General features: G+C 46.3%; 3 long non-coding RNA genes and 1 pseudogene across 6 annotated transcripts in view, besides 4 other annotated features; 2 read left to right on the plus strand and 2 right to left on the minus strand.

The window, feature by feature from the left end:
- Positions 1-981: 981 nt before the first annotated feature.
- LOC124904460 (uncharacterized) lies at positions 982-3064 on the minus strand. Its single transcript, XR_007066748.1, has 2 exons — positions 2453-3064; positions 982-2245 (listed from the first exon to the last, which is right to left on the minus strand). It is a non-coding gene; the product is annotated as an uncharacterized LOC124904460 (long non-coding RNA).
- Positions 2910-2969: an enhancer, noted in NCBI's record as "active region_2142". NCBI's record gives its function as "activates an Ori minimal core promoter by ATAC-STARR-seq in GM12878 lymphoblastoid cells {active_cell/tissue: GM12878}" and the evidence as "EXISTENCE:reporter gene assay evidence [ECO:0000049][PMID:35858748]".
- Positions 3020-3349: a silencer, noted in NCBI's record as "silent region_1577". NCBI's record gives its function as "represses an Ori minimal core promoter by ATAC-STARR-seq in GM12878 lymphoblastoid cells {active_cell/tissue: GM12878}" and the evidence as "EXISTENCE:reporter gene assay evidence [ECO:0000049][PMID:35858748]".
- C1orf220 (chromosome 1 putative open reading frame 220) lies at positions 3215-9308 on the plus strand. The gene is made up of 3 exons (NR_033186.1): positions 3215-3304; positions 5632-6322; positions 7513-9308. It is a non-coding gene; the product is annotated as a chromosome 1 putative open reading frame 220 (long non-coding RNA).
- Positions 3380-3449: a silencer, noted in NCBI's record as "silent region_1578". NCBI's record gives its function as "represses an Ori minimal core promoter by ATAC-STARR-seq in GM12878 lymphoblastoid cells {active_cell/tissue: GM12878}" and the evidence as "EXISTENCE:reporter gene assay evidence [ECO:0000049][PMID:35858748]".
- Positions 9309-14568: 5260 nt separating the features above from the next.
- Positions 14569-27675, minus strand: part of LOC105371632 (uncharacterized) — a 31712-nt gene continuing 18605 nt past the window's right edge. The window contains exons 2-4 of one of the 4 annotated variants that reach the window (XR_922315.3): positions 20275-20427; positions 15822-16103; positions 14569-15075 (exon numbers count right to left, since the gene is read on the minus strand). This is a non-coding gene — a long non-coding RNA (uncharacterized LOC105371632). Of the gene's footprint in view, positions 15076-15270; positions 16104-20274; positions 27646-27675 lie in introns of those variants that run through there. The other 3 variants (XR_922313.3, XR_922314.3, XR_007066747.1) reach the window with 3 other exon arrangements.
- RNA5SP69 (RNA, 5S ribosomal pseudogene 69) lies at positions 21332-21448 on the plus strand (annotated as a pseudogene).
- Positions 26902-26951: an enhancer, noted in NCBI's record as "active region_2143". NCBI's record gives its function as "activates an Ori minimal core promoter by ATAC-STARR-seq in GM12878 lymphoblastoid cells {active_cell/tissue: GM12878}" and the evidence as "EXISTENCE:reporter gene assay evidence [ECO:0000049][PMID:35858748]".

Below are 27675 nucleotides of genomic sequence, written 5' to 3' on the forward strand. Positions count from 1 at the left end.
GCAGGATAGGAAGGCTGTGACCTCTGCAGGGGTGGGGGACAAGAGGGACACCTGGTTCCTTCCATTCCTTCCATTTCCAGAGGGGCTGATGGATTCCTGCCAAGAGTCACCGGGGAATCCTCCCAAATAGAATGGATGCTGGAAGCTGGACCGCCAAAACAAACAGAACAATAGCAACAAATGCCCATTATATATTGGGGAAGCAATTGTGTCGATGGAAACAATAGAACGAGCTAGTTTTGTCTTTAAACCTAGGAAATAAGGCCAGGCATGGTGGCTCATGCCTGTAATCCCAGCACTATAGGGGGCTGAGGAGGGTGGATCACTTGAGGTCAGGAGTTCGAGACCAGGCTGGCCAACATGGTGAAACCCGGTCTCCACTAAAAATACAAAAATTAGCCAGGTGTGGTGGTGCACACCTGTAATCCCAGCTACTCAGAAGGCTGAGGCAGGAGAATCGCTTGAACCCGGGAGGCAGAGGTTGCAGTGAGTTGAGATCACGCCATTGCATTCCAGCCTGGGCGACAGAGAAAGAGTCCATCTCAAAACGAAAACAAAAACAAAAAACACCAAAAAAACAAATAAATCTAGGAAATAGATGAATAACATCACCTCCCAGGTGAATAAGAGAGCAAAAGACTCTGTGGGTTCATCCTCTCATTCCTCAGGGGAACCATTTCCAAATGAGACATGTACACAGGCAATACCTGCAGGGCGAGCTGCATTCTACATAGACATTCAAAACCGTCTCAATTCAAAACCGTCTCGATTCAGAGGAGTGCAGCTCCTATCTCATGCAGACAGAGAGGGTGGGGTGACTGCATCAGAGGTCTGGTCAGGACTTGAGAGATACAGTGAAATTTGATTGTGGCTGGTGGATGAAGTAAGGTTTGATAGAAATAGAATGGCCCATGCATGTCCTCTGGGGACCCACGGACACCCTGAAATTGTATGCAAAATGTTGCGTGTGTGTTCATGTACTTTTTCTGGAACAAGGTGACAGCCTTTATTGAATCCTCAAACAAAAACAAGCACTGCTCTAGAATAATATTTCCTAAACACACTCATCACCCGACACCCCAAGGCTTGACAGGATGCTCTAAAGTATCCATTTCTGTCCTCATCCGTTCACATGCAGCATTTAATCCCACTTCCCAGCCTTCTGCCCTCTTCTCCTGTCTCCTCTCCATGCTTAACACGCCAGCCCCAGATGCTCCTCCTTGCCACCCAGGGCCTGAGTCATACATCCATCTGCTGAGCTAAATATCTCTACTTGGATGTTTAAAAGGCACCTCAGCCTGAATTCATTCCAACTAGAACTCTTGATTCACACCCCCACGGAAAAACCCCATTCCTCCCCCGGGCTCATCTAGCTCAGTTCACGGCATTTCTCTTTCTGTAAAGCCGGGGAAGTGTGCAGTGGTGAAGTGCTGGGTCCAAATTCCAGCTTTTCCATTTGCTAATGGTGGGACTTTATGCAAACTGATTCAACTCTCTGGGCCTCGATTGCCTCTTCTGTAAAATGTGGGAAGAACTAATTCCTAATTCATAGGAGTGTTATGAAATCTAGACAGGTTAAACTATGTGAAGGGTTTAGAGGAGCGCCTGGCTAACCGTATTAGCCACTGTCATTCTTTTTCTTCCAGTTGCTCAGGACAAATCCTAAGAATGATGCTTATTTCTCTCTTTCCCTCATGCACCACACCCAAGCTCATCAGCAATTCCTGTCCATTCCACCTTCAGATACAGATCACAAATCTGACCTCCTCTCCCCATCTCTGTTGCTACCCTACTCGCCTGGGCCGCATGGTCACTTGTGGTGGTCTCCTAACTGCTCCCCTTGTGTCTACCATGGCCATCATCCCCACACCAGCTCTCCAGGTGGCAGCCAGAGTGATCTTACAAAACCGTAGGTCAGGTCATTGCCCCCTGTCAGACTCAAGCCCATCACAGCCCTTGCTATGCTGACAGGCCCATCCCACCCCAGCCCGCTCCCCCCACCACCTGCCCCCCTCCGCCACCTCACCTGTGCCTTCTGCACGCCTCTCCCACCACTCCCCCTCCCTCCCTTTACTCTGGCCACTCTGAATGTCACTGGTCCTCCTTGAGCCCTCCTGAGCCCTCTGCCCAGAGTAATGCCAGAGTGGAGGCCACAGCTGAAGGCAGAGGCTGTTGGCCTGGGGTGGAGAGGGGAGATTCCTCTGGGTGGAAGGTGACATTGGGCAGCCTTGGATGAAGTGAATACCTGGTGTGGGGAAGCAAAAATAAATAGAGAAACAAACGGATTAATTTTGCTTCTTTCCAGGGACTTGATTTTCTACAAGTGCTGCTCCAAGAGGCTTCTACACCCCCGCAGGGAGGCAAGCACCGTTTTGAGGTGGCCGGGCTGGCGAGGAGGTGCAGACCCCAGCCAGCTGGAGGGGCTCTGCCCTGATGGCGTTCCCACTCCCACCTCATTCGCAGGGCGCCGGGGAGGGCTGCAGGTGTTCTATTCCCACCCGGCTTGCAGCGCAAGGAGGGGAATCGCCTGACACCTTCCCCTTCTCCTCTGCCCCGCTTCCTTTCTCTGCTCCCACAGGTGGAAGTCACCAGCGGAAACAACCCTTCACTGTATGGAGGGCTGGGAGAGAGGGGCCAAGAGGGCCCCGGGAGAGCCACTGGGCGGCAGGCAAGGGGCGGGGCAGTCTCCCTTCCGGCTTCCGGGACCGAAGGGTGAAGGGCAAGGGGAGCTCAGGGAATGAACGAGTGCTCCCGACTAATGTTTAACCCACGACTCCGAGACTCCGACTGGTCACAGTCCTGCAGACCTCCAGGTCCTGCACAGGCGACGCAGCGCTCCACTGGCCCGGAATGCGCACCCCGGGGGAAATGGAAAGTGCCATTGAAATGTCAGATGTCACCGTCTTCATCAGCACTCTTGGAATTTTGGCCAAAGTGGCTTCTTCTTTTGCTGAGACTTGACTCACTCCCGGCAGAGGGATGATAGCGGCCTTGCCCCGAGCGTTTATCCGGCTGCAGGCGTCATTCTTGGTCGCCTGTGTGTCCAGAGCCCCAGCGCAGGAAGGGAGCGCAATTCCCACCGCGCCCGCTGGGTGGCGCTAGCGCCGCACCGTGTCCCGGGATGAGGGGAAACCGCGCTGCCCAGTCAGTACCCCGACGCCCCCGCGCCCCCGCCGGGCCCCGCGCGCTGCAGCCACCGCCTCTTCTCGGCTTCCTCTTGCTTTACAGTAACTCTCCTCCTGGGGAAAAGGCTTTTCACGGAGCAGGCTCGGAGCCTACGGGGCTGGCCTCGGACTGGATGGGGGTAAGGACGGGTGGCGGCGCTCGCGCCGAGCGAACGGAGGGCTCAGGCGGCCGGTGATCAGGGACGGGCTGCGGCCGCCGTCTGGGGTGAGAGGCCCACCCAGAGCTCTGGGCCAGGGCTCGCGGCTCTCGTGCAGATGCTGGGCCGGGAGGTGTGGGGAGGGGGCTTCCCAGGCGGGGCAACCGGAGGGGAATGGGGTGTGCAGGAGGGAGGGGAGGCGTGGAGCGCCCGGCCTGCAGGCACTGGGCGGCGCTCTCCAGCCTCCTCTTCTCCCGCCGGGTGCCTGGTGGCTTGGCCTCCCCTCCAGAGCTTCGCATATCCTGGCGGGAGCCGGCGCTCTCTCTCCATACTTAGGACTTGACCCTTATTCCACACCCGGGCAGGGAATCATTTGCCCAATCCGAATTTGATTTTCTGCTTGTGAGAGGAGAAACTGGTGACAGTGTCGCATGGACACTGTCGGGGAAGCCGAGACGTAGACCTGGAAGCCTGTACCAGAGGCCTTGTGGACAGCTTTGGAGCATGCATCTTAAGGCACACCACCGGTTTCTGCTGCTTTGGCACAGCCACGCAGCACCTAGGATGCTTCTCTGCACGCAGCAGAGGCCTAATCCGTGCACCCTCTGACGGTGTTGGAGGGAGCTGGGGAGCAACATCAGATTAATAGCCCCTGGGCTATTTGTATGACGTGCAGATTTCACCCTCTCATTCTTAAAGGGTGAAAGGCTGCAATTCAGAAAGGCGAAGATGGGGCCCAGGAATCTGCAATCTGCGTGGGGTTTTTTTTTTTTTTATGAAGTCTTGTTCTGTCGCTCAGGTTGGGGTGCAGTGGCGCGATCTGTGCTCACCGCAACCTGTCTTCCAGGTTCAAGCGATTATCCTGCCTCAGCCTTCTGAGTAGCTGGGACTACAGGTGCATGACACCACACCTGGCTAATTTTTGTATTTTTAGTAGAGATGGGGTTTCACCATGTTCGCCAGGCTGGTCTTGAACTCCTGACCTCAAGTGATACGCCCACCTTGGCCTCCCAACGTGCTGGGATTACAGGCATGAGCCACCGCGCCTGGCCAGAGTTTGCATTTTGTTGTTGTCGTTTGTTTGTTTGAGACGGAGTCTCGCTCTGTGGCCCAGGCTGGAGTGCAGTGGCGCCATCTCGACTCACTGCAACCTCTGCTTCCCAGGTTCAAGCGATTCTCCTGCCTCAATCTCCCAAGTAGCGGGGATTAACAGGCGTGCCACCACCATGCCTGGCTAAATTTTTTATTCTTAGTAGAGACAGGGTTTCTCACGTTGGGCAGGCTGGTCTCAAGCTCCTGATCTGCCCGCCTTGGCCTCCCAGAGTGCTGGGATTACAGGTGTGAGCCACCGCGCCTGGCCTGTTTTGTTTTCCTAAATCCAGAAGTTCTGATTCAAGCCTAAACCTGCCACTTCCATTCCCAATCCTCTGAGCTTCATGAGCTCCAGACACAGGGCTGTTAATCACAATTTCTTTAATTCTTTATATCTCTTGTGGAATTAGAGGAGTAGATGTTCTTTCTTTTTGGGAAAAACATTAGAAAATGCCTACATGTCTTTATTGAAAGAACTTAAAAACAATGTATTTCTCTAGGGTTTATTTTCCCTCACGGCTCTCAACCTTCTCAAAATATAAGGTTGGCGGATTAATTATACTGAAAGTCTTCAGTTGGATATTTTATTATAGTATTTTTAAAGTCGTGTTTTGTAATTGCCCTGACAATGTAAGGAATGATATTTGTGAGGGTGAGTCAACAACACCTTCCCTGTTGGTGTCTGCCCTCTAATAACCCCACGGGCTGGATCCCCAGCACCTGGAAGGAATCATCATGGAACGTTAATAAGGAGGAAGGCTGGTTCTGGCGCCTGGAACACTTCAGAGACAGAAAGCAGTGACTAGGCCAGACAGGCCCGTTGTTTTTGCGCTTTGAGAGAGAAGTGAGAAATGGAAAGTAGTCTCTTTATCTTCTCAGCAAATACAGCCTATGCTCAGAATTTCTCCGACTTCCCATCTCTGAGATGCCGGATGCCCAGTTCCACAGAATCATGGCAAGCGAGAAACTGTCGTTCATAAGAGTTCAAGAAAATGAATATTCTCTCAACTCTGTGAGGGCCAGTGGGTTCCAGGCGAGATGAGACAACTTGGTGAGCGTCGTAACTGAGCTCCCAATGCATTTAGAAGCCTCTGGATGGCCGGGGGGTGCATTCCAGCTGTGCTGGAAAAATTATATTTTGAAGTTAAATCTGGTAGTGTTTTTTCCAATATGAATAGGCCTCAGGAAAGAGATAATACATTTCCTTCTTTGTTCAGAGGGTGCTCAACTTGCTGGAGTCATCTCTGCTATGGCTTTATTTGCCAACAACAGAGAACTTGCTCTGCAGCAGCCCCAGGCTCTCTGGGGACCCCACAGGCTATGCAGATCCCCCACCCCAGAACCACAGAAGGAGACAGAGCAGAAGCACACCCCGTCTTCCAGGCCCAGGACAGCTGCTGAGCTCCAGGACACGGACTCTTGAAGGTTGATTTTGACTACTTACTAAGCTCCAGCTGAACCAGTTCCACTTCTTTAACCTTCCCATGATCCCTGTGAGGGGTCTGTGGTATTGCTATTTGCAAGTAAAGAAAGTGAGATTGAGGGAGGCTGAAAGACTTGGCCCCAAGTCACAATGCCCTGCTGAATGTGGTGCTGCCTCCTGGATATCCTGGGTGCTTCAACATCAACAGCTCTTGGCAAGTGAGTGGGCCACGAAGGATGGACGAGGGACATGGGGGAGCAAGCCCAGCTGCACGGTTCCAGCTCTTTCCGCCACATCACAGCTTCTGCAGTTGGGAAGACTGAACAGTGATCTTCAGTTTGTTCGTCAAAGGGCCAAGAAATCTGTGTCCTCACCTTCTCTGCTTCAATTCTGGTGCTGCTTAAGCCGATTATCATTTCATGCCCTAAACCAAAAAATAAACTCTACAAACATCAACATTACATAGGACAGGATCTGGCCCACAGGTAAGAAAAGCACCTACAAGAGAGCTGCATGGAGCTGTGGGTGCATTTCCTGTTACCACCAGGGCATCCCAGAATGCTGACAAAGAGAAAACTAAGACCTTCCCACTCTGATTTGTTACATGTCATAACACCAAGCAAGTGACAGAGGAGACAATTATGGGGCCCAGAGGAAGGTGCCTGTATCATGTAGACAAAATCCAAAGCAGCTTGTTTCAGACAAAACATTTTGCTTTGGAAACTTTTGAAACTTCCATGGCCGTTGAATATAGCAGAGATGATCTAAAAATTTTAGAAGCGGTTGAGGTACCCGTGGTAGGGGCAAGGCATGGGAGTGGTGATCCTTAAGGGGCTTGTCTTTAGTTTGAGGGCCACACACAGAGGAGGTGGGCAGAAAACTGAGGTCTCCCCAGAGCAGCTTTCCAGACAAAAAAAATAAAAAATGACCAAGAAAATACCTGATATAATTGACAATGCCATGAAATGAAAAGTTTATCATAAATTCTAATAAAAACTACAATGGGCTGGGCGCAGTGGCTCATCCCTGTAATGGCAGCAGTTTGGGAGGAGGAGGCCGGAGGATTGCTTGAGGCCAGGAGTTTGACAGCAGCCTGAGGAACAAAGTGAGACCCTATCTGTATTTTAAAAATATACTTTAAAAAATATTTTTAAAAAACAGCAGATGGATATCCCTACTGCATTTGAGACCTGGTTTCGGTTCGACCTCCTCTGGGGAAGCTCACAAGCAACACTAGAATCTCAGCTCTCTCTGTTCGCTGATGTCATCTGAGATTTTTCTTTTTTTTTTTTTTTTTTTGGCAATGGAGTCTCGCTGCGATGCCCAGGCTGGAGTCTAATGGTATGATCTCAGCTCACTACAACCTCCGCTTCCCTGGATCAAGCAATTCTCCTACCTCAGCCTCCTGAGTAGCTGGGACTACAGGCGCGTGCCACCATGCCCAGCTAATTTTTGTATTTTTAGTAGAGACCAGGTCTCACCCTATTGGCCAGGCTGGTCTTGAATTCCTGACCTCAAATGATCCACCCACCTCGGCCTCCCAAAGTGCTGGGATTATAGGCGTGAGCCACCACACCCAGCCCATCTGAGGTTTTTCTAATGTAGAGAATATACCATAGTGTTTTAAATAACCTACCCTCTTACATTTGACTGCACTCCCTTCTTCAACACACAGATTGGGGGCAGGAGCTGCTTTTTCAATGAGAAGAATGAACAGACCTAGTGGGCGTTGCCTTTAGACCCAGGTAAGAGGAATCCCAGCCTTGGGACATTACTTTCAAGGGCCAAGCCCATAGGCCATCCTTCTAGAACATTCTTTGGGTAGCTAGGGCTTCATAAGTCACTTACTGGGTTTGTCCTCCTTGAGTGGACTGTGTTGTCGGTGTGCACACCTGTATTTCCATGGAATGGTATCTTAGTCCTGCTGCTATAACAATACCTGAGACTGAAAAATGTATAAACAATAGACATTTATTTCTCACAGTTCTGGAGGCTGGGAAATCCAAGATCAAGGCACCAGCTGGTTTGGTGTCTGGCGAGGGCTGCTCTCTGCTTCCAAAATGGTGCCTTGGGGCTGGGCGTGATGGCTCATACCTATAATCCCAGCACTTTGGGAGGCCAAGGCGGGCAGATCACCTGAGGTCAGGAGGTTAAGACCAGCCTGGCCAACATGGTGAAAACCCCATCCCTACTAAAAATACAAAAAATTAGCCAGGCATGGTGATGCATGCCTGTAATTCCAGCTACTTGGGAGGCTGAGGCAAGAGAATTGCTTGAACCCAGGAGGCAGAATTTGCAGTGAGCCGAGATTGCACCACTGCACTCCAGCCTGAGTGATAGAGCGAGACTCTGTCTCAAAAGACAAACAAAAAACCAAAATGGTGCCTCATTGCTGGATCTTCCAAAAGGGATGAACGTATGTTCTCGAATGACAGAAAAGACAGAAGGGCAGAAAGTGTCCAAACTCACTCCATCAATCCCTTTTATAAGGTGCTAATCACTCCCTAAACACCCCATCTCTTATTACTGTTGCACTGGGGATTCAGTTTCAGCATGAGTTTTGGAGGGATACAGACATTCAAACCACAGCATTGTGCACACTCCTTTTTCTATGGAATGGCCAAGGTGCAGCTATTTGCAGAGGCTCTGACAGAGCTCCGCTGTGGAGCTGGGGTGTCCACATGCCTGTATGGAAGAACTTTCATGGCACCGGAGCCTGGTGGGAAGAGAAGTGGGCTGGGCTATAGACTGGGCACCAGGGACTATCACCTCGTGCCACCACATTTAGTGTAGAGTTCCAGAGAGGCCACAAATTCTTCATTTGAACTGGACTCCCCAGCCTCATGTTCCTCTGCAGGATGTAAAAGGTAATGCCAGCAGACGTTGGCAGTGCTGGAGACACCTGGTGGGCAGAGGTTACCTGGCTGGAGTGGCAGGTGTGAGGAGATGCCTCCCAGCATAAGGAATGTGGGCTTCTGTTGGATCTCTTGTTCCAGGCCTCACACATGTTCAAGGCAGCCTGGGTATGTCTTGGCCCATTCAATCCCTCAAAGCCCTGTTTAATTCTCATCTTGCTGTCACCTATGTGGTGCCAAGAAACAAGTCACCAAAATAATGAAATGCCTACCTAAGCTTAAAAACAAAACCATGAGGTCTTTCTAAATAAATTATGAAAAAGTGCAAACTGCAGGTCCCTGTAATGATTTCAAAGACTCCGTTCCAACAATGCATTAATTTAAAAAGGGAGTATAAGGCAAAGGGGGGTGATTAGAAGAGGAAGGCAGCTGACATCAAACTGAATATACCAAGTTTCCTCCTCAAAAACGAGTGTGCATTATTTGTGGTGACCATTCTTGGTATTGTTCTATTACGTAAAACACAGCATAGCATCATTCTTTTAGATGCCATTCATTTAATATATGGGCAAATGTACATGGTTAGGCTAGACTGGAGCACTTGTCTACACTGCTTAAAAGAAAAGATTTACTAAAAAAATTCAAAGGACAAACGAAAGTGCAAAGGGAATGTTAGGTTTAATTAAGAAATCAGCTCTTTAAAGGGCTTAACCAGAATAATTGTTGGTATGCAAGTGGGGTTGTGAATTATAAATGAATCATTCATTCTTTGAAGAATGATCTCTTCTTGGAAAAGGATCTCTTCTTGGAAAGACTTGGGGAGCATTTTAAGTTGTTGAAGGCCAGGTGTGGTGGCTCATGCCTGTAATTGCAGAACTTTGGGAGGCCAAGGTGGGTGGATTACCTGAGGTCAGGAGTTCGAGACCAGCCTGGCCAACATGGTGAAACCCTGTCTCTACTAAAAATACAAAAATTAGCTGGGCATGGTGGCATGCGCCTGTAATCCCAACTGCTTAGGAGGCTGAGGCAGGAGAATCGCTTGAACCTGGGAGGCAGAGGTTGCAGTGAGCCATGATCGTGCCACTGCCCTTCAGCCTAGGTGGCAGATACTAATAATTACTGAGTCGTTTTAAGTCGGTAACATTTGTTAGGTGTTTATTACATGCTAGTTCCTCAGTTCCAAGTATTTAGTCTTCACCACAGGCCTAGGATTATGACCATTTTATAGAGGAGGAAAATGAAGGCCTCCAAGTGCCTTGCCTGAATTACCTAGCTAAATGCTAGGAAAGCAAAGACAAGTACAACAGGCTGTCTGCCTTTAAGAAGTTTACCACCTAGTATTTTTTAATGTAAATTCTCTAATAAGTTCAGGCCAGCTTCCTCTTCCAGCTCATCTGAATTTGGTGAATTTCAATAAAATAAAACAATACGAAAAACGTTTCTACGCAATTAACTGTTGTCATGTATTATAATAGGAATAAGGGGGAAAGCCGTCTTATGGAATATTGAGTCCACACTTGAGAATCAATTGCCTGAAGAACATTCTTATTTCCAGATTGTAGCATGGTCTTTTTATGCCTGAACAATGACAAAAAGAGTGATGATTTTGTAACAAAACCTCAGGGACGCAATTAACAAGTTGTCATTTCTAATTCATGTGGAAATGCTGTTTTATTTTTCAGAGAATTGTAGCAGTGGTGTTCATTTAATTAAGAATCTGATGTTGCGGAAGGGCAATTGAGTGAAATTTATAATATTGTAGACAGACATGTATGCAAACACAAAAGAAAATTGGTTAAGGATCTAAGTGCCAGCTTATTTTCCTTTGAACAGCCCATTTTTACATGATTTGTGAGCTGTTTCATAAAGGAATCATATAAGTATATTTTATCCTTTTAAAGATATTTTACGGTAAACTCATCTAACTAGTAATTGTACAAGGCTCATAAATAGTCAAAAAGAAAAGTGCCTGTAACTTTTGACAATATTGAAGGTGACTACCTCTGTATTAGAAGGCAGTTTAGGATCTAGTAGCTTTCCCAACTGCAAGTAATGGCATATTCTAATTTATATGAACAACATCATAAAACCAATAAGGTAAAGAAAATAGGTTTGAATGAGAAAGTATTCTGAGAAAGGTGGGGAATGGGCGTCAGATATGGATTGGAAGGAGACAAGAGATCGGAAAGGTGACAGAAGAGAGCCCCCACTGTGGTGGCTACTGCCTGCACCTTCACCAGGAAGTGTTGCTCACCTGTCCAAGCCACAAGTTCTGGTCATGTCGTAGATCCAAGTGCCTCCAGGTGGATGTGCCACTTCCAAGGCCCAGCCTTCCTAAGCCACCTCACCTTAAGGTCTGGATACATTTGTTCACAGTATGCACTTTTTGAGTGCTAATTATGTGCCAGGCACTGGGCTAGGTCCTGGGGACACACCCATGAACAAGGAGAGCAGGTTCCTGGCCTCTTGCAGCTGACATTCTAGTCAGAGGAGACAGTCTGTAAACACATAGATAAATAATTGAAAGAGTTGCACATGGCGATTTGCGCTGAGAAAATAAAGCAAGGTAAAGAGATTTAAGTGTGAGAGAAGAAAAGGGGCTGTTTAAAGAGGTGGTTAGGGAAGGCCTCTCTGAGGTCAGGACATCTGAGCAGCGAAGGAGCCAGCGATGGGAAGCACCGGGGGCGGGGGTAGGACACTCCAGACGGAGCAAGTACAAAGGCCCTGGGGCAGGAAGGACCCTGATGTGCTGGATGAGGAGCAAGAGGGTGCCAGTATCGCTGAGCTGGAGAAGAGGAAGAAAAGTGGGAGAGGAAGATGAAGAAGTCACAGAGGTCAGGCCATGTGGGCCTTTTAGGCATGGCCAAATGCTTGGATTCTCTTCCAAGGAGAATGGGAAGTCATTGGAAGATCTTAAGTAGGGACATGATAAGACTGATTTATACTTTCCAATTATTACTGTGACTACTCTGTGGGGACCAGATTATAGGAAGATGATAATAAGGTGAGTGAAAAGAGTGGCCAGTCGTGGCATCCGCCTCCTTCCACAGAGATGAGTACAGGCTGAAGTCTTGTCCGTAAGATGCTTCTGTGGAAGTTACAGGGAGCTGACCCTGGCCTTGGAACTAACTGTGGTGGGATCAGAGAGGGGGGAAGCAGAGATGGTGCCAGCTTTGGCCCAAAGATCAGAAGCAGTAAGGACTCTGTGCCTCTGGCAAAAGGACAACTCCATGTTTTCTGTGCAAACATCCAAGTTACCATTTCCCCAGGCGACATTGCAGCTGTGGGGCCTGTGAACAGGACAACAGCTAACCATTCTGAGTTTAAAAAAATCAAGGACAGTACCCTCATGTTTATAATATAGGGGGCAAAGCAAAATCCATTGACAAGCATTTCCTTTAAAATACAGGGAAGGAAGATTCCATTGTCTACAAATTCTAATGGAAATTAATAAAGATGAGCAAATATCACAAACGTTGTCTTTATTCTGTGGTGTATTCTATGTGGTGTCCTGGTTATATGAGTATTTACAGAAGTTTTTCTAGCTTCTCTGTTGTCTCAACTCCCAACTGTCTGTTTTTCCCCATAAGGGTTTAAGTTCCTCAACCACGAATTGTCCTGCCACTGAAGTTTGCAGCCTAATCCCGTGCAGGGGACAGAGGGGAATTGTTTGGGTTGGAATGACTGGAAATCAGGGTGCCTGCTTGGGGAGGGGGTTGATGAATCTAAAACGACAGGTAGGGGTTAACTATGGAGGGGAGAAAGCCTTCATTTTAAAGTGGTGAGGTCCTGGTGTCCCTTGGCAGGCATTGCTGCCCTTTTGCACTGGTCTTCACCTTCTCCAGCCAGACATCCCAACACACAGAGTCCTCAGGGGGCCAGAGTCACCCTGTGTGGAAGTGGGAGAAATGCTCTCCTACAGGGGCCTCTAAAAAGTGCTGCTGCATGTGAGTGCATGGGTGTGCGTGAGTGCATTAAGCAATGTTTAGTGCAATCGTACATCCAGATTTTACTTACAACTCCCTCTGTCCTTAGGCATAGTAAATTAGGGCCAGGTATCTGTTTGGCTCTATTAACCAAGGGCCAAGTTAATGCCAAGCACTGGCCTTTCCTGGGGCTGATCCTCCTCATGAGGTCCAGCCCGCCCTGTCTCTTAAGACAAGTTCTTTCTCAGGTCAGGCAGCATCTCCGGCTCTCAGTAAAGAGACTTTGGGTGGCTCAATCCCACCAGTTCGTCTGGCACATCTAGACACACGAACCCCTCCCATCCCCACCCCAGCTACCTAAAGCAAGGGGGTGATATGAGCCAATCTGTGTTTACATAAAATTAGATGGCAGCCAAGGAGAGAATGATTAGCCTGCAGCAGAATCTCCTAGACAGCTGGTTGGAGGTAAAGGTTGCTGTGCCCTACCTGGAAATTCTCATTCACTAGGCCAGGGCAGGGCCTGAGAATTTGCATTTTAAGCATGTGTACTTGCCCCCTCACCTCATGATTCTGACAGTTGGCAGACCTTATCAAACACTGGACTAGAGAAAAGCTAAGCTGGTGGCCAGATCAGTATGGAGCTTGGATTGTGGGTGAGAGTTGGCAAAGGCCTGACTGAAGCAGGCACCACCATAGAGAGGAAGAGAAACTGGATTCCAGGGAGAGAACAGGGAGCAAGGATGGGCCCTGGCTGGGTGGGGAGAAAAGGAGGAGGGCAGGGAAGAGGCTGCCGCCAGGGCGGCCTCCTGACCAGCACCTGCTTTTCTGGGAGCTGGCATCCACGGGATCTGCAGCTCTTCACACATGTAGGGGAGAGGTCCTGGGCTCCCTCTCCTCCTGCTGGCACCAGCTGGCCCTGCTCACCTGATAGCAGCTCTCAGCCTGGGGACAAGCCAGGGCCACTCCCTGGGAATGCTCAGGTTATAGATGCACCCTAGTCCCAAACACAGCCTGTCCATGGCCCCAGCTGATAAAGTTACCAAATGTCAGGTGTGACAGATTTTCCTGGAGGAGGACAGAGAGTGGAAATGATGGCTGATCCCAAAGGGTTGCCTTTTAAACCCCAAACCCATTTAGTGGTAACTACACCTGACATTTCCAGAGCCCTCCCATTTAGGGAATTTAAAAATGCCTGGACTCCACATGGACATTTTTCTTCTTCTTCTTGCGGGTTTTTTGTTTGTTTGTTTTGTTTTGTTTTGTTTTGTTTTGTTTTGTTTTTGGATACAGAATCTCACTGTCACTCCGTCACCCAGGCTGGAGTGCAGTGGTGTGATCACGGATCACTGCAGCCTCAACCTTCCAGGCTCAAGTGGAGGTCTTCCCGAGTAGCTAGGACTACAGGCACACACCACCACTCCTGGCTAATTTTTGTATTTTTTGTGGAGATGGGGTTTCACCATGTTGTCCTGGCTGTTCTTGAACTCCTGGGCTCAAGCGATGCTCACACCTGTAATCTTAGCACTTTGGGAGTGCTAGGAGACTTTGCCCAGGAGACAGCAAAGAGCCAGCAGACAAATTCCTTTTCCTTCCTCTCCTGCTCTGAGGTGTGGTGGGTGGAAGAGAGGCACCTGGCCTCTTCTTCTTTTAAAATGATTTACACAATGGACTGTCATGTACCATGTAGAAGTTATTTTTCTTTTTTATCTATTTGTTATTAAGTAGGGGTAGCATTAATCTTTTTATAGATGTGAATAATTTCTGGATATAAATGGCTCCCTACTTTTAGAGATTTTGATTTGAAATTGCTATTATCTTACAAAGTTGTCCCTTTTGTATTAAAGAAGTCCATGTCATTGTGAGTAGCACCCCTGGGTGCCGAGACCAGCTCAGTCAGGGAGACCCTAAACCAGCGGCGCTAGAGGAATTAAAGACACACACAGAAATATAGAGGTGTGAAGTGGGAAATCAGGGGTCTCACAGCCTTCAGAGCTGAGAGCCCCAAACAGAGATTTACCCACGTATTTATTAACAGCAAGCCAGTCATTAGCATTGTTTCTATAGATATTAAATTAACTAGAAGTATCCCTTATGGGAAAAGAAGGGATGGGCTGAATTAAAGGAATAGGTTGGGCTAGTTAACTGCAGCAGGAGTATGTCCTTAAGGCACAGATCGTTCATGCTATTGTTTGTGGCTTAAGAATGCCTTTAAGCAGTTTTCCGCCCTGGGTGGGCCAGGTGTTCCTTGCCCTCATTCCCATAAACCCACAATCTTCCAGTGTGGGCATTATGGCCGTCATGAACATGTCATAGTGCTGCAGAGATTATGGCCAGATTTTGGGGGGGGGGGCCTGCTCCCAACATGTCCCCCTTCTTTGATTTGCAAATCGATAAAAGCAAGGGCAGCTTTGTCACGGTGAGCTATTTCTTGCAGGAGTCAGGATCCATATCTGCAGACTATACAAAGACAAACAACATAGATTAAAAGCACAGTCATCATTGAAATCACAGAGCTTCCAAGTGTTTTTATCCATTTTAATGGGTTACTAGCTGCTAATTTGTCTGCAGCTCCTTTAAGCACTTCAGTTCCTGGCATTAAGGTCAGGTGTGCCTGGGATGCTTTAAATATTTGTTCTTTTAATTTTGCTATATCCAAAAACAATTTTGTAGAGTGTCCTTCTAGATGCTTTTTTATTCTTTCCCAAATTTTGATCTTATTAAGAGCATTTAATAGTTTCCGCAAATCCTTATGTTTAGCTCCTAGAGCAGGCCATATCATTTGAGGTTGAGGTGCCACTATACCGCCATGGTTCCACATAATAGGAACTTTTGCCGTACTTCTTAACATTTCTACCATCTGACTGTTTTGTTCAGATCATCTAAACATAGTGTGACTGTGGCACGCAGACTGAGAGGTGCAATTCAAGCTAAACATCCCCTTAGGGGACCAATTAATAATGATTCCATAGGAATCGTTGTGCAGCATCTCTGCCTGTTCTGCAAGGCAATCTTCCTAAACAATTGTGTTCATTTTTTCTAACTGGGTCCAATCCTGTTTACAAATAGGTTTTTAAGGGTGGTATGCCTCAATTATAGGAGCAGATTTATTATGGTAAATACTGAGATCAGAAAGCATATGTAACTGTGTCATAGAGTGATTGCATCCAGGCGTTATTACCAGCCCTTATTGTAGGAATACTCACGGCAGTGGTGATAACCACTATCATAGCTACCATTAAATTATTCATTGTGACTGGTTGTTCCGCTTTCCTCCGCCATCTGTGACAGCTTCTTGATCTGTCCCCAGGTGGGTGGCTGTGGTCGACGGGTGTTGCTCGTGACAGTTGGGGTCCTCCTCAGCATCAGTCTCAACATGGCTGCAACCGGGGGGTCCTCAGGATCCTCCCGAATCTCTTCCTTGGCATCTGGCTCATGATAAGGTTTCAGGTGTCTTGATGGTATCCAAATTGGCTGTTGATTTTGGCCTGGAGAAATACAAGCATAACCTCTACCCCAAATTATTATTTTACCTATTTCCCACTTTTTGTTATCGGATCTCTCCACCAAATCAGTTGTTCTGTTTCTGTCTTTGCAGCTGGTTTCTGTAGATGCTGTTCAGCTGCTGATAACATCTGGCCTTTGGGCAGGCTCAAAAAATTTAAAATTAATAATGCTAGGTTCAGTTGCATTTGTGGGGTTCCATATTCTCTGTCTCTCCCTTTCTGCTTTTGCAACTGCTGTTTTAGGGAGAGATTCATTCTTTCCACTATGGCTTGTCCTTGAGAATTGTATGGGATACCAGTAATGTGTTTAATATTCCACATAGAGAAAAATGTAGCTAGAGCTTGGCTAGTATAGCCTGGGGCATTATCTGTTTTAACAGAAGCCGGAATGCCCATCACTGCAAAACACGATGTTTAACACAGGCAGAAGACTCTCCTGTTTGGCATGTAGCCCAGACAAAGTGAGAAAAGGTGTCCACACATACATGTACATAAGCTAGTCTCCCAAATGAGGGAACATGTGTGACATCCATTTGCCAAATAGAATTAGGTTCCAGTCCTCAAGGGTTAACTCCTCCTGTAAAAGATGAGGAATGTACCATTTGGCAAGTTGGGCATTGCTGGACAATAGCTTTAGCTTTTTTCCAGGTAATGCTGTATCTGCATTTGAGACCAGAGGCATTAACACAGGTTAAATTGTGAAAGTGTCTAGCATTGGATATCGCAGTAGCAACTACGTGATCAGCCATTTGATTCCCTTCAGTCAAAGGTCCTGGAAGAGGTGTAAGAGCCCTAATGTGAGTGATGTAAAAAGGGTACATTCTACTCCTAACTGCTATTTGCAATTGGGTAAATAAAGTCATCAGTTGTTCATCTGCATGAAATCATAACAGAATTTTCAATTAACTCTGTGGAGTGAACCATGTATGAAGATTCAGAAATCACATTAATAGGCATATCAAAAGCAGTCAATACCTCAATTACAGCTACAAGCCCCGCTTTTTGAGCTGAAGTATAGGGCGTCTGAAAAACTTTACTTTTTGAGCCAGAATAAGAAGCTTTACCATTACTAGACCCATCTGTAAAAACATTCTCAGCACCTTCAATTGGTTTAAATTTAGTTACTTTAGGGAGAATCCAATTAGTTAATTTCAAAAACTGAAACAACTTCGTTTTAGGAAAATGATTATCAAGAATACCCACAAAGTCAGCTAAATGGGTTTGCCAAGTAAGACTATTTATAAAAGCTTACTGTATTTGTGCCTTCCTGAGAGGGACAATAACTTTTCCAGGATCATATCCATGTAATTTAACAATCCAAGTTCTCCCAATCCCTATCATAGTAGCGATTTGATCTAAATAAGGAGTTAGAGTCTGTGAAGTAGTATGTGGAAGAAAAAGCCACTCTACTAAGTCCTGTTCTTGGACAATAAAACCAGTAAGTGAATGCTGAGTTGAAAAAATGAGCAAATCTAGAGTCTTCTCTGGATCTATTCTATCTATTTGAGCTTTATGGACTTGCTTCTCAATCAGTTGTAACTCTGCCTCCGCCTCCTTTGTTAATCTGCTGAGGGCTAGTGAGACTAGGATTTCCTCTAAGGATAGAAAACAGATTACTCATGGCATAGGTAGGAATGCCTAGAGCAGGTCATATCTAATTAATATCCCCTAGTAATTTTTGAAAGTCTAATGTTTTTAGTTGATCCTTACATATGGTTACTTTCTGTGGCACAATAGTAGTGTCATTTACTAAGGTCCCGAAGTAGGAGTAGGGAGGAGTAGTCTGCATTTTGTCAGGAGCTATAATTAAATCAGCGTGAGAAATTGAATTTTGCAAGTGATCATAACATTGGAGTAATATTTCTCAAGTGGGGGCAGCACGAAGTATATCATCCATATAGTGAATAATGTAACACTGTGAAAATTTTTTACGCGTAGGTTCAATTGCTTGCCCCACATACGTCTGGCAAATTGTTGGGCTGTTTGACATGCCCTGTGGCAACACTTTCCAATGATAACGCTTAGCAGGCTGCAGGTTGTTTACTGCAGGAATTGTAAATGCAAACCGTTTACAGTCTTGCTTAGCTAAAGGGATAGTAAAGAAACAGTCTTTTAAATCTATGACTATTAAAGGCCAGTTTTTTGGAATTATAGCAGGAGAAGGCAATCCTGGCTGTAATGCTCCCATAGGTTGTATAACTGAATTGATGGCTCTTAAGTCATTTAACATTCTCCATTTACCTGATTTTTTATTAATTATGAAAACTGGAGAATTCCAAGGGGAAAATGTTGGACCTATGTGCCCATTTTCTAATTGTTCAGCAACTAATTTCTCTAAAGCCTCCAGTTTCTCTTTACTTAGTGGCCATTGTTCTATCCAAATTGGCTTATCTGTTATCCATCTTAAAGGTATAGGTTCTGGAGGCTTAACAATGGCTGCCATCAAAATGATATCCTAATCTTTGGCGGGAATTTTGTCTTTCTGCTTGAAGCGGTTCTTTCAAACCTTGCAACTTTTTTCTAGTCCCATACCAGGGACATGCCACATTTCATGCATTGTATGTTGACTTTGAGGGCTATATAATTGTTCTGGAATTAGAACTTGTGCTCCCCATTGTTGCAATAAATCTCTTCCCCATAAATTTATAGGTACAGAAGTTATAATTGGTTGAATAGTCACAGGTTGTCCATCACGTATATTTTGCCCTTCACAATGCAAAATATAACTACTTTGATATACTTCAGGGGCTTTATCAACTCTAACTATGTTAAATTGAGTGGGTTGAATTGGCCACGTGGATGGCCAGTGCTATAGAGAAATGATTGAAATATCTGCTCCTGTATCTACAAAACCTTTAAATTTCTTTCCCTGAATAGTTATTTCACAGGTAGGGCATTTATCAGTAATTTGATTTACCCAATAAGCTGCTTTGCCTTGTTTTTCTGTGCTTCCAAATCCTCCTGTTCATTTAATTTCACTTTTTCCCATTCCCACATACGGCACAATGAGGAGCTATTCTATGCGCTCTCCTCCTGGCTCTGCTTTCCAGGGAACAGAAGTAGATACGACAATTTGAATTTCCCCATTGTAATCTGAATCAATGACTCCTGTATGTATTTGTACCCCTTTTAAACTTAAACTAGGCCTTCCTAAAAGTAATCCTATTGTCCCCACTGGCAAGGGTCCACAGACTCCTGTTGGGACCTTTTGTGGGTGTTCCCCAGGCAGAAGGCTCACAGCTTTTGTGCGGCATAAATCTACTGCAGCACTATTGGCTGTGACAGGGGACAGACATTGTACAGGGGTGAGGGAATGGCCTGAGCTGGAAGTGCCCCGGTTTAGAACAGGGCCCGGGACGGGCCCCTTGTGGCATTTCCTGAAATCGGGTTCCCTTCTTTATCAAACTTAGAGTGACACTGATTAGCCCAATGTTTTCCTTTTTCACCTTTTGGACATATTTCAGGCTCAGCAGTTTTCTTTTTTCCCCTATCTGGTGGCCTGACTCACTGATTTTTTTCTACATTCTTTTTTAGTATGACCATGCTTCCCACAGTTAAAACAAGCTCCAGGAAATGGAGTATTTCCTTTATCCACTCTCAGTCCTGCCATTGCCTGTGCCAACAAAGTAGCTTTATGCAGATTACCTCCGATACCATCACAGGCCTTGATATAATCAACTAAATGTGCTTTCTCGAATTTAAAAGGAAAAGGCTCAAATGTAGCTATAATACTTCCCTGTTGATCAGTGGAGGTATATTCTAACAGGGAACTGCCAAGCCTCTATATCACCCTCTCGTCTAGCTTGCTGAATTCCTGCCTGAATAGAACTAAGAGTGGTCGCTCAAGGTGCTGCTCAAACAGTCACTGGGGCAACTACTTTTCGTCCAGTGTCCTCCGGAAAAGAAAGATCTGGAGTGTCTTTTTCTTCAAAATAATAATGAGGGGGTGCAGAAGGGTAGGGATGGACCTCTCCCTCCTTTGCCGCTTTAGATTTAGCTGGCAAATAAACCTGGTCTGTAACCTCTTCTGTTACTTCGTTATACAGTCCTTCCTCCTCATTATCAGTGTGAAAAAGTTCCAAGGTGGAACAAACCACAGCCCACACTTGTCCCATTGTTACCCTGACACTTCCGAGCTCCCCTTCTTACTCACCATGGGGATTGCTTTTAGAGTACTCGGGTGTCCTCCAGCTAGTTTTCCATTCCAACCATTGCTCCGGTGACCCTTCGACCTGGATTCAAGCTCCCACGAATGGACGCCACTTGCTGAGACCAGCTCAGTTGGGGAGACCCTAACCCAGCAGCACTAGAGGAATTAAAGACACACACACACAGAAATATAGAGGTGTGAAGTGGGAAATCAGGGGTCTCACAGCCTTCAGAGCTGAGAGCCCCAAACAGAGATTTACCCACGTATTTATTAACAGCAAGCCAGTAATTAGCACTGTTTCTATAGACATTAAATTAACTAAAAATATCCCTTATGGGAAATGAAGGGTTGGGCCAAATTAAAGGAATAAGTTGGGCTAATTAACTGCAGCAGGAGTATGTCCTTAAGACACAGATCACTCATGCTATTGTTTGTGGCTTAAGAATGCCTTTAAGCGGTTTTCCGCCCTGAGCAGGCCAGGTATTCCTTGCCCTCATTCCCTTAAACCCACAATCTTCCAGCGTGGGCATTATGGCCATCAGGAACATGTCATAGTGCTGCAGAGATTCTATTTATGGCCAGTTTTGGGGCCAGTTTATGGCCAGATTTTGGGGTGCCTGCTCACAACACCTGGGCCTGAGAAAACCATTTTACCCAGAGAACTTCACCTGAGAAATTTTTCTTCTCCTGCCTCCATCTTTAGCCAAACCGTCTGGTAGCTTTGCACAGAATGGCATTCTTGCAAATGTCATCCATCAGTCCTCTCTGTGGCTGCAGGCCTCACCAAGGGACGGGGTCCTGTGCTTTGAGTCCAAAGACTTCATGCTCATGAAGATGACAGAGCTTTCCACAGAGTGGGTAGGAAATGGGAATTTGGGTCAAAGTGATTGTCTTAACCTAGACTCTCTAGGAAAAAAAGTCCTTGAGGCAAAGTTTGTGTGTTAAGGCTTAACCGGGAGGGGCAATACCAAGGCTGCAAGAGGGAAGGAAAAGGAGAGCTGAGGCAGGGAAGGCAGGGGTATTACCAAGCTGGGAACAGCTTCACAAGAAAATACACCCTGTCCACAGCAATACCACCCTGAACATGCCTGATCTCATCTGATCTCGGAAGCTAAGCAGGGTTTGACCTGGTTAGTACTTGGATGGGGGGGATGGGAGAAAATACACCCTGCAGCCTTACAGATGGGGCCACATGGACCCATCACACCTCGGAGTGGGAGAGGAGAGAAAAGGAATGTCTGAAGGCTGTTTGCTGTCTCCTGTCTGTCACTGATCACGGGTCTCTCTGTGGAGCGTTACTACCCCTGAGGTTCTGCTGCCTTGTCTCCCCGAGTAGACACACCTTGTGCCTGTCTCACTCATTCAGGGTTGGCCTGGCATTGGGCACAAGAGAAACATACAGAAGCCCAGTGTCCTCCCAGGAGTGAAGTGCAGGGGCGATGGTAGCAGTGGCCAAGGCCGGAGGACGTGTGGGGCCAAGCAGCCTGGATGGTGGGTGGGGTGATGACAGGAAGAGAGAGGGAATCATAATAACAGCCTCTCACCTCGTAGAGCACACCAGAGTTTTAAAAATGCTGTGCATTGGTTATTTCCTTGAATTTTCACAAGAATCCTGTTTTGTACATATTATGTTGACCCTCATGAAATTGCCATATTGGCTCAGAGAGGCTTCCTACAAGGAGATAAACTTGCTCCTAAACTTGCTAATCAACTGGGTTTGGTTCAGTGATAAACAGGGAGTTAGGGGTGAAAAAGGTGGTTACCTTTTTGCCATCCCACTGAAACCCCAGCCCTACCAGACCTCCAAATGCCATTTACAACTTCTTTCTCTAGGCTGGTGTCTGTACTCAGCAACATATGACAGTAAAAAGAAAAGTCTTTGAGAAGTTGTGGGGGAAAAAATTCAAACTTCTTCACTTTACAAACTACCAGACCTCATCTCTCTGCCACGCTCTTAACACTTACTGTGTGTGAGCTTGTGAAAGTCACTTAACTCTCTGAGCCAATATGGCAATTTCATGAGGGTCAAGGTAATACAACATGGGATTCACGTGAGAGTTGAAGGAAATAACCAATGCACAAGCACCTTTAAAACTCTGCTGTGCTCTACAAAGTGAGAGGCCATTATTATGATTCCCCCTTACTTCCTGCCACCCCACCCACCAGCCCTCTTGAGATACTTTTGGCTTCTTTCTTGGCCCCTTTTGGGCTCTGACCCTCAGCCGTGTTTTCAGAAAGTTTTCCACCAGTTTTCTGGCCCCAAATTCAAATCCAATTCTGGCTCCTTTTGCTCCTTGAAGCTCATCTGTCCCTTGAACTACCTAGCCTTGGAGCTATACTAGGGAGAATTTTGGCATATCAGGGATTCTACTCTTTTTTTTTTTTTTTTTTTTGAGATGGAGTGTCACTTTGTTGCCCAGGCTGGAGTGCAGTGGCACAATCTTGGCTCACTGCAACCTCTGCCTCCCAGGTTCAAGTGATTCTCCTGCCTCAGCCTCTTGAGTAGCTGGGATTACAGTAATTAGCACCACGCCCAGCTAATTTTTGTATTTTTAGTAGAGACGGGGTTTCACCATGTTGGCCAGGCTGGTCTCGAACTCCTGACCTCAGGTGATCTGCCTGCCTCGGCCTCCCAAAGTGCTGGGATGACAGGCGTCAGCCACCGCACCCGACCTCTACTTTTTAGCTATAATGATTTGCAAGGGCAAAAATTTCACGGTACAAGGAGCTTTCTTTTGAAACAATGAGTAAGCTCTTCACAAGTACCAACATGTCGGGAACCGTAAACCCTTGTCGCGGGGGAAAAGCTAGTCTAACTGTATCCTAGAGGCTCTAGGTTCAGGCTGAACGGAAGTACATGTCGGCTCCCTCATGTTGCTAAGCCCCCTTTCCCCTTATCCCCCTTCTCCTCCTTTCCTAGGCAGCACCTCATGTTAGCCTCACAATGACCCCGTGAGGTGGGAAGGGCATTTCCATTTTTAAATTAGAAGCAAAGGTTCACAAGACCTGAGAGATTTCCTCCGGGCCCAGAACAGCCAGTCTGAGGCCAGCTGCAACAAGAAATTGTGTCTTCTAGTTCCAAGTACTTTCTATTCAACACCATTGCCATTCTTTCTGGCTTGTCCCTGTTCCCTTTATTCTTGGTTTTCATAAGAACTTTTATCTCCAGGGAAAGTGTCCTGCCTTCTGACAGATGCTTGGGTTCTCGGTAACACAATTTGTTTAACTCACCGAGAAAGTCAGTCACAGAACCATTCAGCCATCAGGGACTAACCTGAGGCCTTGAGCCCAGTGGAGGCCCAACCCCAAGTTTCCAAGCTGGGTTGAGGGGGCCTTGGGGTGCTGAGGGCCTGCTCCAGAGTTCAGAGCAGAAGAAAGGGCCAGGGTAGCTCCTCACTTGACCTCCTGTTTTGGAGGTCCCCTTGTGGTGGGGGTACCTGCATCCCCAGGGGCATAAGGGTCGCACTCAGCACCCACAGGGCTTTCCTTTGGTGAATGCTATTCAGTGGTTTCTGGTTGTCTGAGGGGCATGTGAGTTGATGAGATTTTGAGAGGGGAACTCGGGGATGGGAGTGGAGTGAGCAGGGGCTGGAGAGGCAGAAAAGGAGACTGTGGAGGGGAACTTCAGAGGAGGAGATGATGAATGGGATGGAAGGTGGCTGTGTGACATGCATTCATTCACCTTTCCTCATTCCTGTTTCCCCATGCAAGCCTCAGTCAAATTTATGTTACTAACAGGTGCATTTGGCGCTAATGGGTAGCAGTGGGAGGTAACTGGTTGGGCTTGAGGTGAAGGTAGGGAGCAGCTGAGTGCTCCCGGTCATATGCAGGTCACACACCGCAGATTTCACTGGGGAAGAGGCACCAATCTTCTAATCTGAAGATAAATTTTATCAAGAAGTCCTCTTTCTGGCTGGGCACCGTGGCTCACGCCTGTGATCCTAGCACTTTGGGAGGCCAAGGCAGGCAGATCACCTAAGGTCAGGAGTTCGAGACCAGCCTGGCCAACATGATAAAACCCCATCTCTACTAAAAATACAAAAATTAGCTGGATGTGGTGGTGGGCACCTGTAATCCCAGCTACTCGGGAGGCTGAGACAGGAAAATTACTTGAACCCAGGAGGCAGAGGCTGCAGTCAGCCAAGATCGTACCACTGTACTCCAGCCTGGGTGACAGAATGAAACTCCATATCAAAAAAAAAAAAAAGAAAAAAAGTCCTCCTTCACATCTTTTAAATCATTCCTCTTTTAATTCAGATTCAAATTCATTTCTTCTGGTCTGGCTCAAGTTGAGTCCTTGTCAGTGTCCCAAATTTTGAGCCACAAAATCCAGAGTTGTAGAAAAAGGAGTAGCTGGGGAAGGGAAAAGTCTGTGACCACAGTCAATGGAAATTGTGGACCAAGCATTTCTAGAAAATGAATTACACTGTTACAGAGGCTTGGACTGCAGCCATAGGAAGGGAGCTATTGTTCTGCAGAAAAGTTCGTGAACAATTCCCACTTGGCAAAATGAATGAGAAGGAAAATCAGAAATACCTGAGTCTTCCAGTGGTGTAATTTCTAATGCTGATTGACACCAATCTGAAGCAACCGAGAATACTGACAGCAAGGTGGAACAAAAATGCCATTCACCATGAGCCCAAATGGGTACTGAAGCTGCTAAGCACAGTTTAATCTCCTCAGCCCTGTCCGGTTGCACATATAAATCTGCCTTCTGTCTCTATATGTGCCAAGGGGCACTTTCATCTTTGACAACAAGACCAAAGTCCATGCCTATTTTCTCAGCAAGGATCTCCCTGTTTGTGTTAAATCAGTCCCGTGTTGTTAAGCTAAGGGCATTCTGTGTAGAAACATCTCAGGCATTAAAATTTGTAAAAACCTAACTAGTGTCTGCCCCCTTGCAGGGCCCTGTCTGTAGAAGTAACTAGGTCTTATTTATTTATTTATTTTTAAAGAAGTATCATTAGGAAACTTTCATTTTTATCAGCTACCATTTAGATCTCAGGACACATTTTACTTCTCATTTCATTTGACATATGAGAAAAATGTTGCATGCCAATTGAGCTGTAAGGTGAACTTGACTGTGATAATGGGACACAGCTCAGCAAAGACAGCAAGGTCAGCTGACTGGTGTTCTGTTTTCTGTACGCATATCCACTGACCTGGTTCGGGATCACCTCTTTGTTCTGCAAAGGACTATCAGATTATCACCAGGGTGGTCCAAGAGCATCTTCTGTACAATTAACTGGTAAGGACACTAACAAATGTATGTGGAATGAATGGATTCAAAGGGGCAGATGAATATTTGTAATTAATCCCAGACACCCAGCTTGGCATTGACCTGTCAGCCTACATTCAAGCATTTTTTTCCTTTTTCCAGAGAGGTCTAGAAATTCTTGGGTGAGTAGGAAAAAGGCTTAGCATAGGAAATGTCTATTAGGCCAGGCGCAGTGGTTCATGCCTGTAATCCCAGCACTCTGGGAGGCTGAGGCAGGCAGATCATTTGAGGCCAGGAGTTCCAGACCAGCCTGGCCAACATGGTGAAACGCTGTCTCTACTAAAAACACAAAAATTAGCCAGGCATGGTGGCACCTGTAGTCACAGCTACCTGGGAAGCTGACATGGGAGAATTGCTTGAATCTGGGAGGTGGAGGTTGCAGTGAGCCAAGATTGCACCACTGTATTCCAGCGTGGGTGACAGTGCAAGACCCTGTCTCAAAATAAATAAATAAATAAATAAATAAATAAATAAATAAATAAATAAAATGTTTATTAAAATCTCCAGTTCTGATAGTCAAAATAGGCTAGATATGCCACAGTAAAAAACATCCCCCAAATCTTAGGATTTATACAAGTTTATTCATAGCTCACCCTGGTCTGCTTTTGGGTTTGGGTGGCTGCCATCCAGGGCAACTGTCCTTGCGTGATGACTTAGCATGCCATTCGATCTCACAGCTTTTCTTTATCAACATACCCTTCCCTGATTGCCACAGTAGGGGAAGAGCAATTACATGCTTCCACTTAGAAGCGACATGTGTCATATTTAATTTGCAAAAGCAAGTCCCATAGCCACACTGAACTCCCAGCAGGTAGGTATACCAGTTATTGATTCCTGTAAAACAAACCACCCCAAAACAACACAGTTTATTACTTCTCATGGTTCTATGATTCAGCTGGGCAACTCTTTTTTTTTTTTTTTTTTTCTGAGACAGGGTCTGGCTGTGTCGCCCAGGCTGGAGTTCAGTGGCCCAATCTCGGCTCACTGAAACCTCTGCCTCCAGGGTTCAAGCAATTATCCTGCCTCAGCTTCCCAAGTAGCTGGGATTACAGGTGCCCACCATCACGCATGGCTAATTTTTTGTATTTTTACTAGAGACAGGATTTCACCCTGTTGGCCAGGCTAGTCTCAAACTCCTGACCTCAAGTGATCCGTCAGCTGGGCAACTCTTTTGCTGGTTTTGCCTGGGCTTACTCATACAGCTCTATGTGGTTGGAGGATTGACTGTGCTGGAAAGTCCAAGATGTCCTCATTCACATGTGTAGCAATTGTTTCTGGCTGTTGGCTGGGGTGTCTTGGTTCTTCCCCATGTGGCTTCTCATCCTCCAGTGGGCGGTCTCAACTCACATCCTTACATGATGATCTCAGGACAGTGTTCCAAGAGGACAAAGCCAAAAGCTGCTAGATCCTTTGAGTCCAGGCTCCAAAAATTGCACAAAACTGCCATATTTTATTGGTCAAGGCTAGTCACAGGACAGCCCAGATTCAAGGTATGGGGAAATAGTCTCTTAATGGAGGAGTTGCAAATGTTGTCGCCATGTGTTTTAATCTATCACAGCAGGAACATGTACAGCCAATTCTCATTATGTGTGGTAGTTATGTTTTACAAAGTTGTTATGAACACTGACTTAGAGAATATTGAACCATTGCTCCTAAGGGAAATACAGGGTTAGGTTCCTACAAGCCCCTGGACACAACATTTTCATCACCTATTCAATATATAACCTTGTTCTATGTGTGTCTATTTGAAGACATCTTATTTTTTAAATACATATTGTTGATTTCTTAACATTGAACTCATGGCCAAAAGCACTATAATTCATGCCTAAACAAAGCTTATCTAATACCTGTATTTTCTCCATAAGGCACATCACAGACTTTTTGTGCTTATAAACATCAGCATTATAGCATTACATTTGGGAAAAAGTGAAATAACCAGCAGAAAGCAAAAAAAGTAAAAAGTGTGTCACTAAATAGATCCCCAAAAAGGATACTTGTTTATGATATGAGAACTGAAAAAATAAGGTAAAATATAGCCTTGTTTCACTGACAGTTGTTTGTCAGGCAACACAGATTTTTCATCGCTTTGCACATGCCTATGAATGACCAAGAAAGCAACATGAGTA

Source organism: Homo sapiens, chromosome 1 (assembly GCF_000001405.40).
Source record: "Homo sapiens chromosome 1, GRCh38.p14 Primary Assembly".
Lineage (NCBI taxonomy): Eukaryota > Metazoa > Chordata > Mammalia > Primates > Hominidae > Homo > Homo sapiens.